The 13,445-nt window shown below is 43.8% G+C and overlaps 1 protein-coding gene across 1 annotated transcript in view, besides 1 other annotated feature; it reads left to right on the top strand.

Annotated features, from left to right (window-relative positions):
• The window catches only part of LOC124903162 (uncharacterized), a 138,590-nt gene that overhangs the window by 107,357 nt on the left and 17,788 nt on the right, over positions 1–13,445 (top strand). The window contains exon 4 of the mRNA XM_047430821.1: positions 12,370–12,480. Within this exon, the coding sequence (XP_047286777.1) occupies positions 12,370–12,480 (111 nt within the window). The remainder of the gene's footprint in view (positions 1–12,369; positions 12,481–13,445) is intronic.
• Positions 9,471–9,641: a silencer, noted in NCBI's record as "fragment chr13:40674833-40675003 (GRCh37/hg19 assembly coordinates)". NCBI's record gives its function as "represses an EF-1alpha promoter that drives an FKBP-Casp9 reporter gene in an ReSE screen in K562 erythroleukemia cells {active_cell/tissue: K562}" and the evidence as "EXISTENCE:reporter gene assay evidence [ECO:0000049][PMID:32094911]".

Genomic DNA, 13,445 nt, shown 5'->3' with positions numbered 1-13,445 from the left:
CTACCCTAACTAATTTAGGTCTATCTACATAGATCCTTATTCTCAAAGATCAATACAAGCTCACCAGGCAAAGCTTTTTGTTGCCTTCCCTCTGAATTTGACAGCCAAGGGTGCTCCAGCTAGTTCCAACTCTCCACTGCCCTTAACAGGTCCTTGACCTCATTGCCTTCACCATTTAGTCAGGTTGACTCTCTGAGTTCCAAAAAAAGAGATAAAGAAGATCTTGTGCTCTGAGATTGATCATGTATTTTGTGTCAAGTGCTTTTGTGTGTTTGGCCATTAATTTTTGTTCTGATTGCGTATGGGGAGGTGATTTTTTCTTAACTTACTTTCAATTGTAGGCACATTCTGGTCTTTCTTCTTTATGTATCCACCATCTTTCTTTTCTTCAACTTAAAACAACAATGCTATAAAGTAGAAGAAGTTGGCTATTTTGGTAAAGACAGAATGGCTTAACCAAAAACACATGAAATTTGGGGTGAGGTAGATCTAGGTTTTAATCCAGCCTCTACTAATCATTGCCTCCATGAACTTAGGCAATATTATTGTGGTTTTTCCTCTACAAAAAAGGGCATTATGTAATTACGTGCAAGCAAAACTGACTCATAGATGGTGCTCAATCCTGTTTTTTTTCCCTTCCTTATGAAGTATTTTCACTTTGAGTAAAGTAGCCACGGTATCTGCTTTCTTGCTATAGAAATTAGCACTCACTATATGGGAGACATTTGTAACCTACTCCCCTCTCCCTTCTCCTTCTTCGTCAGTCTGTGGTCTCTTAGATTCAGGAAAGAGAATATACATTGGGCAGATGTTTAGTCAGCAACTGAGCAATTACTTTCTCCCATCCCTGACTAAAGGGATCTCACTTGGCCTGCAAGCTCGGGTAGCATTCTTAGACTGTGAGCCACAATGCTTATGCAATGTTAGCTATATGAAAACTAGGCAGCCTGCTGTATCCTGTTAAATGACACTGAGTCTGAGATGGCTCCTTGGAAGACTTACTTCTACTTCCTAAATATAATAGGTAATATGATTCTACTAGCTCCATCATAGTACAGGGCAGGACCTGATTCAAGTTATGGTTTGTTGTCAGGCATTTTACCAATTATATTATGTAATCATCAGGAGAACCCTGTATGTTAGGCTATCCTTCCCATTTAACAGATGAGGCAGCTAAGGCTCAGAGAGGTTGAAGTACTTGCTTAGGGTCATTGAGTTAGTAAAGGTCAAAGATAGGATTTGAGCCAAGTTCTGACTGGACACTAGTTTGTGCTTGTATGGATTGTGTTCCATTGCCTCTAAAAAGCAAGGGATTCTGAGAGTCAGCCAGTGGGGAGGGCAGCCTGCAGGGATATAGATCTTCATTCGGCTCCACATGGAGCCACAGGTATTTGGCATCTCTCATTGCCCTATGGGGGCTTGTAAAGAGTAAATCGAAGGCTAGTTTTAACTGTGACTCCATAAAATAATAATGTCAGATCATAGCCTTTTGTCTGTTGCTGTTCCAGTGTTGACTGATAGGTTACATTTTTAAAGATTGCATCGGCAATTCATGCTTTATTACTCCTGAATTAGCGTAATGCTTCAAATCATCTTGTTGTAATTCAGAATAATTATCTATAATTAAAAATAAATTCTTGTAGGGTGAGAATATCAATTTCTATTCAAATCCCTTTATTTTGATTGTGCCTATCAGCCATTACCCAGCTCCTACCCAATAACTCTGAGCACTTGTTGTGGAGCTAACTTTGCTCTATCCAATGCTTTTGTATTTTTGGCACCATTGTGTATTCTCTTTTGAGATCAGCATTCCTCTAGGTATTTTGCCTTAGTTGATGCTCTTAAAGGTACTGGCTTTTGTTTGGTTGGTTTGAGATTCTGATGAAAGCTATGAAACACACGTTAGAACAAAAATCACACAGGCACATACAGACAGATCAAGCATGGAATTTCAGAAGAATCAAGCATCCCCTAGGACTCACGTTCTCTAAGTATGTCCCTGACCAGCAGCATTAGCAGTACTGGGAACTTGTTAGAAAAGTAAATCCTTTGGCCCAACTGAATCAGAAACTTTGGGGGTGAGGACCAGTAATCTGGGTTTTAACAAGGTCTTCAGGAGATTCTGATGCCTGGAAGTTTGAGAACCACTACACTAGGAAGAGTTAAGAACTCTGGTCTGGCAGGATGTCGCTGAACATGCTGGAATAAATATTAGCACTTCTGAGAGCAGAAAGGGTAACGGATCCATGCAAGCTCTGAACTTATTACCTTCACCAGGTGTTAACACCTGCTTCATGTTTCAGACTAAGGATCCATTTGCTCCCATGGGAGCCAAGCCCGTGGCACTATCATCTTCCATATGGAGGGGTGAAGAACCAGCTGGGGACACCCCTGGGGAAATGCTCCCAGGCTGGAAATATTAAAGAAGATAGAGGAGGTGATAGAAATAGGTGGGTTCTCTCACTGGGTACATACCCATACTTAGATGGCCCACCTGGCCTGGCCTAGGAGTCACCCTTCCCTGAGGCAGGCAAGTACTGGAGACTCTCATGCTGTATAGCAGAGTCTGAGTATGATTAGAGAAAACACAATTTGATGCTTAGAGTTTCAAGACGTCAGAGACTAGTCCCAGCTACTCGGGAGGCTGAGGCAGGAGAATCGCTGGAACTCAGGAGGTGGAGGTTGCAGTGAGATTGTGCCATTGCACTCTGGCCTGGGCGACAAGAGCAAAACTCCATCTCAAAAAAAAAAAAAAAAAAAAGAAGTCAGAGACTGACTTTTAGAGTCAGAGTCAGTCTCTAACTTTTTCCATATAAGAGGTTGTATGTCTCAGCAGATAACTGTCATTAGATTTAATCTTTTAACTATGCTTCCATGCCTAGGTTTTACAATGTGAGTAAAATCTAAGTAAAGTTACGTAGATTCCTAAAGAAGTTCTCATTTAAGACCTGAATCTCTCTTGAGTAAACATTTTCATACACACAGTTTATTGCCCTAGATACCATAATCATTTGCCCTCCATGAGGACAGAGACCTGGTCTCCTTGCTTATGGTGAGCGCTCAAAAAATTTTTGTCTAAATAAGTACATTTATTATCTCATTGAATTTTCAAAACAATGCCCAGAAATCTGACCTGAGAATTATTAGGAGGCACAATTCTTCCCCTCTCCGTATTTCTATCTTAACCATAAAGTGAAAAGATCTGACCTTTTATTTCACCCTTCACAAAAGCGGGGAATACCTGAATTTCTCTGGCAAGTTTGGGAAAAGAAACTCTTGTTTCATGCATCTGCTCAGACACAGGATATGCTGTGCTCACTGCTTGCTTATTGCAAAGGCTTCTGGGGTGAGTAGACTTGGGTTATTTCAGTTTGACTAATACTGATGCAGGTAGATTTGCCTATTTCCAGCTTGAAATATTCCGAAGTCCATTTGGTGATGGGTCTGAGCTACATTATCCAGTCCAGCTTTATCTATGCATAGATAAAGATTCTTTTCTATCTGACCTCTTTATTTCCTCGATGGCTTCAGCACTAAGGACAGGTGTTATTTAGTATCCAGATAGAGATTACAGCCTTCTGAGATGTTGCCTTTCCCTGTTATAGTTCATACCCTTGTTCCCTGAGCTGACTAGGTTTGAACAATTTGTTTTCTGCAGATCCTGGTAGAAATCTCAGAGTTCCTTTTTTCCTCTGAAACTCCTTCCCTGTTCCAGCACTAGTTGTTCTGAATGTTTCAGTCACTTCCTAATGGCATCCCCAGAGTCACTGGCTAGAGAAGACTATCTCATCCCCTAGCTGCTGGCCTCATCCAGGCTTCTAGTACGAGAGTTGCCTCAAGCTGACTGCGTCCTGTACACACCACACAATCTTCCAGCCCACTGCAATGTATTTGACCAGGGGTAGACACTGGACCCATGAGTAGAGACTCAACGGAATCAAATTTTACATGGCTTGCAGCCTGTGGGTAGTCTGGTACTAAAGCAGTGTTCAAATAAAGTCAGAAAATCATTAGGCTCAAACTGGAATTCTTTGAAGGAACTCAACTGGAGATGTAGACAAATGCCCACTAGTTAGAAGGAGAGCCCAGGAACGAAGGTGCATAAGAGAGCTGGAATCTGACAGTAACTGAGGCTTGTTAAGGAGGAACACCAGAGAGAAATCACCAAGCATCTGCTGCTGGTTGCTACCTGGATAATCAGGTTGCTAGAATTGCCATGGATCTCAAGTCTAGTCATGTTCTACCTCCAATACTTTTGGGAATCTGGATATGTCTTTTTCCTTTGCAGCCAACGAAGCCCAACAGAGACTCTCATAATCGATGATGCTTCCATTTGTCTTTCCTGAATTCCCTTTCTGCTTCTCCAGCCCCCTCAAGAAAATTCCTGCATGTTATTCCTCACACAAATAGAGCATATCTCTCCATTCCATACCAAACAATTCTGTCCATGGGTGGGTTACTCCCCACCTCACATAGGACCTTCTTGGCCTCAGGGTCTTATGTAATTGATGGGGTGGAATAGAGGAGGCAGAGTGGGGCAGATGTGGAAAACACAGCTTGGGGGCTGGTCTCCACTCTGATGTGCCTAATTTGGCTTGCAAGTATTTGTAAGAAAACATTTTTTGAACTAATTTCTAATGTTTGAAGAGGATATTTCCTCCCTAAAAGTTCAGATTTCTGGATTCTCTTAAACTTTGCACACCTGATGGCACTGGGCCTCCTTTCCCCTGAGCATAGTCGTCGTTCAGAGGTGGGTAGCAGCCAGCCAGCCTTCTTCAGTTGAGCACTTCCTTAGCGCTAGTTCCTTTCTGGCCTGCCTTGGTCATGTATGTTACCTCTCTGACATCTGCTATCATTTGACTTTGCACTCACTGATAGAGACAGAATGAGGGAGCAGATGTGGAGGAGAAATGGAAGAAGTTATTCATTAAGCCAGGGCTAGGAAGAGCGCTAAGGAAGAAGTTCTAAGGATGAGAACCCAGCAATGTCATTGAGTTTGATAAGGAGGAGATCATTGATGGCTTCCGTGAGTCCAAAAGTCAGATGGCAAGAGAGTGAAGAAGCTGATGATGGTTATGTAGGGTATAAGAGATCCACAGAACTGAGTCATGAAATGCAGAAGAGAGGTATGACAGTTTCAGAGATGTAAAATAGTGACCATTGATAATGTCTTCAGAATGAGACCCATGAAAGAAGGTTAACAAAGAAGGCCATGCTTATGATATGAAGGAAAAATAGATGTTGTCCAAAAGGGAGGTGGCATATCTATGACAAAATACATATGGTGGGATGGAGCATTCTGATTAGACGTGGGGAAGATTAGTTTTCCAGAGCTAGAGAGGGTTCATCTGTCTCCTCTGAGATTTGTAGACTCTGATGGCATTTTGTCCATGTTTTAGTTTTCCTTTTAAAATGGAGGGAACCTGAAAAGATTTGATTCACCATTGATAGCAGTAAGTTCCATTAAAAAAAGATCCCCACGATAGTTTCTTTTGCTGAATATTGTCCTGTGGCACTGTTTCCTTTTCTTGGTGCCCTTAGGAAGATCACACATGAAATTAGCACCTCAAATTTACATAAATAAATTTGATTTACTGAAAATACTATGTAATAGCCATTAAACATCATTTGTGTAGCCTGCTTGTAATCACTGCGAATTATCACTTCTGTTTATGAAATCCACGTGCCTCAACCCACAACTACTGAGACGTTACCTCCTTCAAGACCTCGAGTAGACTTGGTTCATGTTCTACTTCCTTACCTTCCTAGGATTCTTACTAAATATACCCACTTCTGTCTTCCTCAAGCTCCCAGACTGGAAATATTAGCTATTGAATAAATACATAATTATTCATCGGGGCTGAATCTTCACACATAGCCGTGACCAGCACTTGATCTTCTCATATAGCCGTGACCAGCACTTGAAGGAAGCCAGGACAATTCTTTTAGATTCTCTTCCTTGAAATGCCACCTCTTCCTTCCTCTGTGGCCTCATGCTCCTCAATTCCTGCTTTTTTGAAAGCCATAAGCCAGGCAGTAATGTTTGCCTCCTTGGCTTGATCTCTGCCTGAAGCACCCAAATGCCCCTCTGAATTTAGCAAGAGAAGAGACTTGGCTCCCTGCGCTGGTGGCTGCTATCTTGTTTCTACTCCCCAACTCTGATATTCCCCTAATCCCATCTTGCAACTTGGCTACTTTTCCCAGTATAAACACTTTTCCGTATGACAACTCCCACAACGCCCAGCTAGGGAGTTTCTCTGTTTACAGTTTGCAATGGGTTCATTATATTTACTTGATGGGGAAGGTTTCAATTACACCTCAGCCAGCTCATCCTCTTTAATTCATACTCCCACTACCTGCTCTTGTTACCTATCCTTCTAAATATTAGTCACCTATGTGAAGATAATAAAAAGATCCTTCTGGGTTATCTCCAATTGTATGTCTCTTTTCAAATAACGACTGATTGCCTGAAAAAAAAAATTAAAGTCTGAAGGCAGTGAGCGATTTGTAGAATGTGCAGCATCCACATTCATTGGAGCTGGAGAGATCTTGGAGAAAATTTAATCTAAATTCTTACTTTCCAGATGAGGCCTGGGGCAGAGAAGGGATTTACTCCAGATCATTTTATTCATTAATGGAAGATCTCCCGCCTTCCCACACAAGACTCCACACATGCACGATTCTTTTCTGGTTTTTTATTTCTGCTATGACAACACAGTCATATCTATGTAGTCCTATCTACATACAATGTAGTCGTGTGTGTGTGTGTGTGTGTGTGTGTGTATACACGTATGTACCAGGAGAATGGTTCCCAAACCTGTCTGAATCATCAGAATCATCTGAGATTCTTTTTAAAAAGACAGTAGCGAGAGTTTCTATCATATGTCCTGAAACAGTCTCTGAGGCTGGGCCCAGGAGTCCAAGGTCTGGCCTTGGGGTTGCTGCTTGATAAAGTTCCCTTGCCCTCCCAGCCTCTTTTTCCCCTCCCATAAGGCACTGCATTTTTCAAGATTGGCCGCAGATTTCATAACATCATTATCAATGTGAAAGGGACCCTTGGTGGGTTTCCTATGTTGTCATGGAAGAGCCCAGCATCCACAACAAGAGAGGCGTGCATGAGGCAGCCTGCGGCCCCAAAGGCAAGGCCCTGTAACTTTAAGCAGAGCTTAGCAAGCCTAGTAACTGGCTTTGTTTGTGTGTCTACGTGGAGGAGGAGACCAGCTTGTGAGCAGTACCTGGAGCCCGTGGGCGTACTCTGGGGAAGCTGCTGCATGAGTCAGGCCTGCAGAGGGTTGGGGACTGGAGTCCTTGACGCACTCAGCAATGATTCAGGGGCACAGCCGAGACCTCGGCATGCCAGGTTAAGCGGGTAAGCCACTCTCCCTGCCAGAGTGGGCCCTGGATGCATGGTAGGGAGCCATCTTAACTTGAACAGCTGTGTAATCACCAGTACCAGTAAAAGAGAGGGGACATGAGACAGTTTTCTCCTGGAACCTCCCCTGGAGTGTGAACACAAGGGAGTGGAATTGTGGGGTCAAATGGTCCAGGAGACCTGCTCCCAGTGAATAAACAAATTCACTAAGGCGTTAGCTCTAGAAAGATTTTATAACTTAGCTGGGTGTATTTGAGGGTGTTATCCATCAGCCAGATACAAGAGGTGGGGAATCTAAATACCTGCATGTGTTTTGGGGGTTGAATAAGTCCCCTCTGTTGTCGATGACTTGGGACAGTCCTAGGTGAAAGAGGTGAGGTTGATCAGTGACATTCAGGCTGCTTCTAGCCCCGCTATGCACTATGTACATATCCGAACTGAGTTCAGGTACTCTTTCTTCTTGATCCCTCTGAGGGTGAAATATTGGTCTCTTTGACCCTACAGTTGCCCAAAGTGGGGCAGTGCTCATAAATATTCACTCTCTTCTGATTTTATGGCTGATTGTACCCAAAACCTTGCTGTCTGGCAGGACAACTAGAGGCTGAGGCATAAGAGAAGAAACAGTGTGTCACTCTGATTTTTTCTGGCATCATTTTTACTCAGAGTTGGAAAGTGCCTCTCCTGCCACACACCTGTGAATCATTTAGAAACCAGGACTCACAGAACAGAGGGCGGACTTCATGCATAACCAAAAAGTTTCCTGGAGGCCGATAAGCTGATACAGCCAGAACAATTGTCTCTTTCCAGGTAGACAAAGGAGTGCAAGGCATATGACCTTTACGTATTTTTGTTTGTTTCTTTTTACCTTGGATCCTTTAGCCATTCTTGTTGGAGAGCCAGTTCTGGGAGAGGGAGTTTTTGACTAAGCAGCCAGTCCATGTTGAAACAAGCATTGTGGGGCAAGTGAGCTGAGCCCCATGGTGGAATGACAGCTACAAGTTAGTGGCATGGCCCCTTGGCAGTGCTGCCTGTCAGTTTCTCCACCACCCAGGCACAGGTGGGAGCAGCAGGTGTGGGCTCATTGAGTTACAAGGAAGCATGACCCATGATAACCAGGTCACATAATAAGGGCTGGTTTATTGCAAGAAGCAAGGGGTAATGAAGAAGGAAGTTCTCTCATAAGAAACTGCTGTGTGGTTAGTCCACACAGAGACTAGAGCTGGAGGCAGTGAGGCTCTAGGGACCTTGGCACTTGGGGGCGGTGAATCCCATGCTCTGCCATTAAAGTGGCTTGGCCAACCCTGGCTCTGGTTATTCTTGATGTATGTGCTTTAGCTTCTCCTCTCACCACCATGACTTAACACAACTTCTCTACACTTAATCTTCTGCTCAATGGTAGTTTCCACTTTCTCACAATTTTGGCTTACTCTACACTTCAGCTAACTCAAGGCTACTCGTGCACTCTTTCAACCTCAGCCCCTGATAGCAGCTTGAGTCTCTGTGTATTTTCCAATTCAAAGTCCTGTGAGTGAGAATATGATTGGTCCAGTGAATTCCTGGTAGTGCTCAGCTCTTTACAGTAGATCTCCCGGTAAGCCTGGACAGGCATCCCTGAGGCAGGTGTCTACTTCCAGACCAATCAGATGAGGACAGATGTAATAGGGGTCCATCGAGAACTGCCATTTCAGCAGTGGCCCTGGGTGGGACAGTGTCCCTTAGAAAGGGCTGCGGATGTGTTCTGACCATGTTGTACTACAAGCAGTCAAGAGTGAAAAACACTTCCATTAAAGGGAAAACCAACAGTTCTAATCACAGGCAAATGTCATAAATTGGGATATTGTCACTAGGTACTTAAAATATGGAGAAAATTTGATGTGGCCTAATAAACTATGCATAGGATAAAATATAATGTTGCTGAAAGCAATAATAAATTAAGGCTGGGCATGGTGGCTCACGCCAGTAATCCTAGCACTTTGGGAGGCTGAGGCAGGAGGATCACTTGAGGTCAGGAGTTCAAGACCAGCCTGGCCAACATGGTAAAATTCCATCAATACTAAAAATACAAAAATTAGCTGGGTGTAGTGGCACATGCCTATGGTCCCAGCTACTTGGGAGACTGAGGCAGGAGAATCACTTGAACCCAGGAGGTGGAGGCTGCAGTGAGCTGAGATTGCACCACTGCACTCCAGCCTCGGCAACAAGTTTTGAGACTCCTTCTCAAAAAATAAAATAAAATAAAGTAAAATAAAATAGTTAATTAATGTAATTTTATTTTGTTATTTTTTAAAAAATTATTTTTTATTTCAATAGATTTTTTGGGGAACATGTGATATTTGGTTACATGAATAAGTTCTTTACTGGTGATTTCTGAGATTTTGGTGCACACATCACCTTTAGGGGTAAAACAAATTATACAAAGATATAGAGATATTGGGGAAAGGGAGAGATTGGGAGAAAGGAGGTGGAAATCCAAGCAAGCATGACATACAGAGATCTAGGGGTCATAGTGGAACACAAGCACTGCTGAATATGAACAAGCAAAATATGTACAATTAAGTTGAGTTAGAACATGATTAATAGGAGCCAATAGAATTTCTTGTGTTCTTAGCGTTGCCTAAATCTTTATTACATTTAGTTTTGTTTTCATATCTTTTAAAGAGATGAAAAGGGTACTGAGGAGATTGAGGGATGTGGGTGAAAAGAAAGAAATAGAAGGGCTGTGAAATAATCGTTAGATTCCTTTGGTCTGGGAATTTAAAAAATAGTCCAAGGATTGACTTTTTAAATTAAGCTTCAAAATCTAAGGCAGCAGATGGATAGACTATCCTTTTATTCCAATGCCACAATTAAAATCGGAAAGAAAAATGAGGAGGCAAGGACTATTGGCGAGTTGATTGCCAAGCAACCGATCAAATTGCAAAGGGCCAAGCCAATTCACTTTTCTTAACAGAATAATTAGGCAGTATCTGAACTATGTGAAATTTTCTCCATCTTAAAGACACCAAATGAATTTGATTGTTTAGTAATCAATTCACTCCTCAGCACTAGTATCTCAGCCACAAATTCTAGGGCTCCTTGGGCTTCCATACTTCTGACCAACTGGCTACAAATTCAGGGGTTCCTACAACCCCCTCAGGCTCAATAGTTTGATAGAATAACTTGTAGAACTCAGGAAAGTGTTATACTTAAAATTACAGTTTAATTATAAAGGATGCAAATCAGGAGCACCCAAAAGAAGATATTAGGGCAAGGCCTGGGATGGTCTCAAATGCAGAGCTTCTGTGCCCAGTCTCCATACAATCAGAATGTGTCACCCTGCTGGCACGCTGATGTGTTCACCACCAAGGAAGGGGACCCAAGCCTCAGGGTCCAGAGTTTTTATTGGGGTTTCACTGTGTATGGATGATTGAATCATTGACCACATGTCTGAGCTCAATCTCCAGTGCCTCTCCTGGGAGGCTGGTGAATAGCAAATGGCTTGAAGCCCCGAGCCTCTAATCACATGATTGGTCTTACAGGCCTGGCCAACCTCCATCCTGAAACTATCTAGGGTCCCACCAGGATTCACCCTATTAGCAAAACTCAGGTGTGGTCCCAGAGGCCAATGTCTTCTGGTGAGGCTGGAGGCTCCCAAACTGCTGCTGTTGCTGCTGCCACTTCCCATGGGGAGAAACAGAGAGCTTAGGTGGTATTTCTGTGTCATAACCTGTCTCCAAGTGGCTTGGCCCTTCCCCTCCCCTCAATGCCTTTTCCTTTCTCCTCTCAGGCTTTCTTACTTCATGCCCCAGAGCTCTAAGATGGAGAAGTCACTCTTTCCTGTCTCATTTTTTGATTCAGATTATGATTGGGTTCAGATCCTGGCTCTGCCAGTTGTGAGCTGTGTGATGTTGTGTGCATTGCATGGCCTCACAGAGCCTTGTCTTCCTCATGTTGCTGTTGTGAGGACTCAGTGAGATGATGTTGGTTGAAGCTTCTGTGTTACCTGGCACATTGAGACCTTTTCCCTCTTCCTCCCTGTCCTCACTGGTGCCTCAAGACCTGTACAATCATCCTGCCTCATTCCATTTGGCTGAAGCTCCTGCTCCACTTCTTGCTGGGCTGTGACCATTCAGGATCCCCCACTGTCCACCAGAGTCAGCATGTGCCATGACAAAAGATGGTGGAATATTTATCCCAAAGCCCCACCAAGAGTTCCAAAAAGAAAGAGCTGGTTGTTGGCACATTTTCCAGGGTCTCAGTTGAGTTGCTTAGACTGTGTGCACTCCTTATCATCAACGTCATCCACGGTAACCCGGAAGCAGTGGCCCACTAGTGTCTGGAAGAGGCAGTCGTCTGTGTATCTACCTAGAGAGCAAAACTAAGCTCTGGGGAGGGAGTAGAAAATGGACCAGCAGGCGCAGCAGGTGAGGTGGGAGGAAGAGAGAATGGGGAGGAAGGGTGTGAAATGCAGGCCTTCCTGCAGACAGCTGGAAAGGCCAGGCTACGGTCAGCCAGAACATCGCCTCCCATGGAGACCAGTCTGTGGGGGCAGCCAAGGCCAATTATTTGAAATGGAATGAAGGATGGCAGAATGATAGTGGATGACAGCCCTGGACCCAGCCCTCTCCCCTTTCCGGATGCAGGGGGCAGGTGGAGCACAGGCCAGCACATGGGCTGCGTTCATGAGATGCCCACATGGGACACACACGCCAATTACTGTGGCTTGGTTGGGTTAAGTTGTTCGTTGTGGGGACACAGGGACACTCCTGGTTCTCCTCTTAGTTGCCTGGTATGCAGTCTTGGGGGGCTGTTTGACATCAGGCTGTTTGGGTTCAGATCCTGGCTCTGCCAGTTGTGAGCTGTGTGATGTTGTGTGCATTGCGTGGCCTCACAGAGCCTTGTCTTCCTCATGTTGCTGTTGTGAGGACTCAGTGAAATGATGTTTGTTGAAGCTTCTGTGTTACCTGGCACATTGAGACCTTTTCCCTCTTCCTCCCTGTCCACACTGGTGCCTCAAGACCTGTGCAAGCATCCTGCCTCATTCCATTTGGCTGAAGCTCCTGCTCCACTTCTTGCTGGGCTGTGACCATTCAGGATCCCCCACTGTCCACCAGAGTCAGCACCTAAAAGTGAGTAGCGCTGAATTCAAGCTTCACATTTCCCCCTTCATTCACCCAGCCAACGGCTCAAGGACAAGCAAGGCCCTTCCTTTGCTCTGCCAGCTTTCCCTCGAAGAAATAAAAATAAAATCTCCCCTCTACAGTACCTGCTGAAATGCATCTACTGGTATTTTGTTCTTTTGTTTATGGCTTTTATGCATAGTGAAAATGCAAATTTTCTTAGAAGTCATTATATTTCAAGTCATTCTATTTGTTTATTGTATGCACAAATGAGTCACACTCTCTGCTCTGAGGACCCTGTGGGAGAGGCCATTGGCCAGGAAGGAAAAGGAAAAAATTCTACTTACACCTCCTTACGCTTCCACTCTACTTACACCTGCTGCACAGTTTTGCTTTGAGTCCATTCCAACAAAGTGTACAAAACCAATTTCTCATCAAGTTTGCAAAACTCATGTTGTCTGCCTTGGAGTTTTCTTCCCCTCCCCCTCCACACCCCATTTCCTCCCTACCTCCTATACTCCACTATTGCAGGAAAGAAAGATGTCACGTTGGTTGAGGGCCCACTGTGTGAGGGCCCCTGTTGAGGGCTGGGAGATGACCTATGGCATATCATTTAGAGCTCACTGCAATCCCAGCAGCAGAGACCATCAGTCTGCTTTATGAGCAGAACAAACAAATAACAGGCGAATTAGTACGTTCCCCAAAGACACCAAACCTCTGGATGGTACATCTGGGATGTGGGCCCAGGTTTGTCTGGCTCTAAAGTGTTTTCGTAAGGCAGTGTTAGCCGTTTGCTCTTTCCTCTGGATCTTACTTTCCCCTTTCTATTTCTGGTTTATTAACCTTATTACATGAAGTTTTTTTTAAAAAAGTTTCTAGAAAGAGAATAATATATTTCAAACAAAAACAATCCATCACAAACTCCTGGCATTTTAAAGACATCTTATTATGAAAACATTTAAATGTCCACAAAA

The sequence above is a fragment of the Homo sapiens genome, chromosome 13, assembly GCF_000001405.40.
Source record: "Homo sapiens chromosome 13, GRCh38.p14 Primary Assembly".
Classification (NCBI taxonomy): domain Eukaryota; kingdom Metazoa; phylum Chordata; class Mammalia; order Primates; family Hominidae; genus Homo; species Homo sapiens.
The sequence above is the reverse complement of the archived record's forward strand: the minus strand, read 5'-3'. Positions and strand labels throughout refer to the sequence as shown.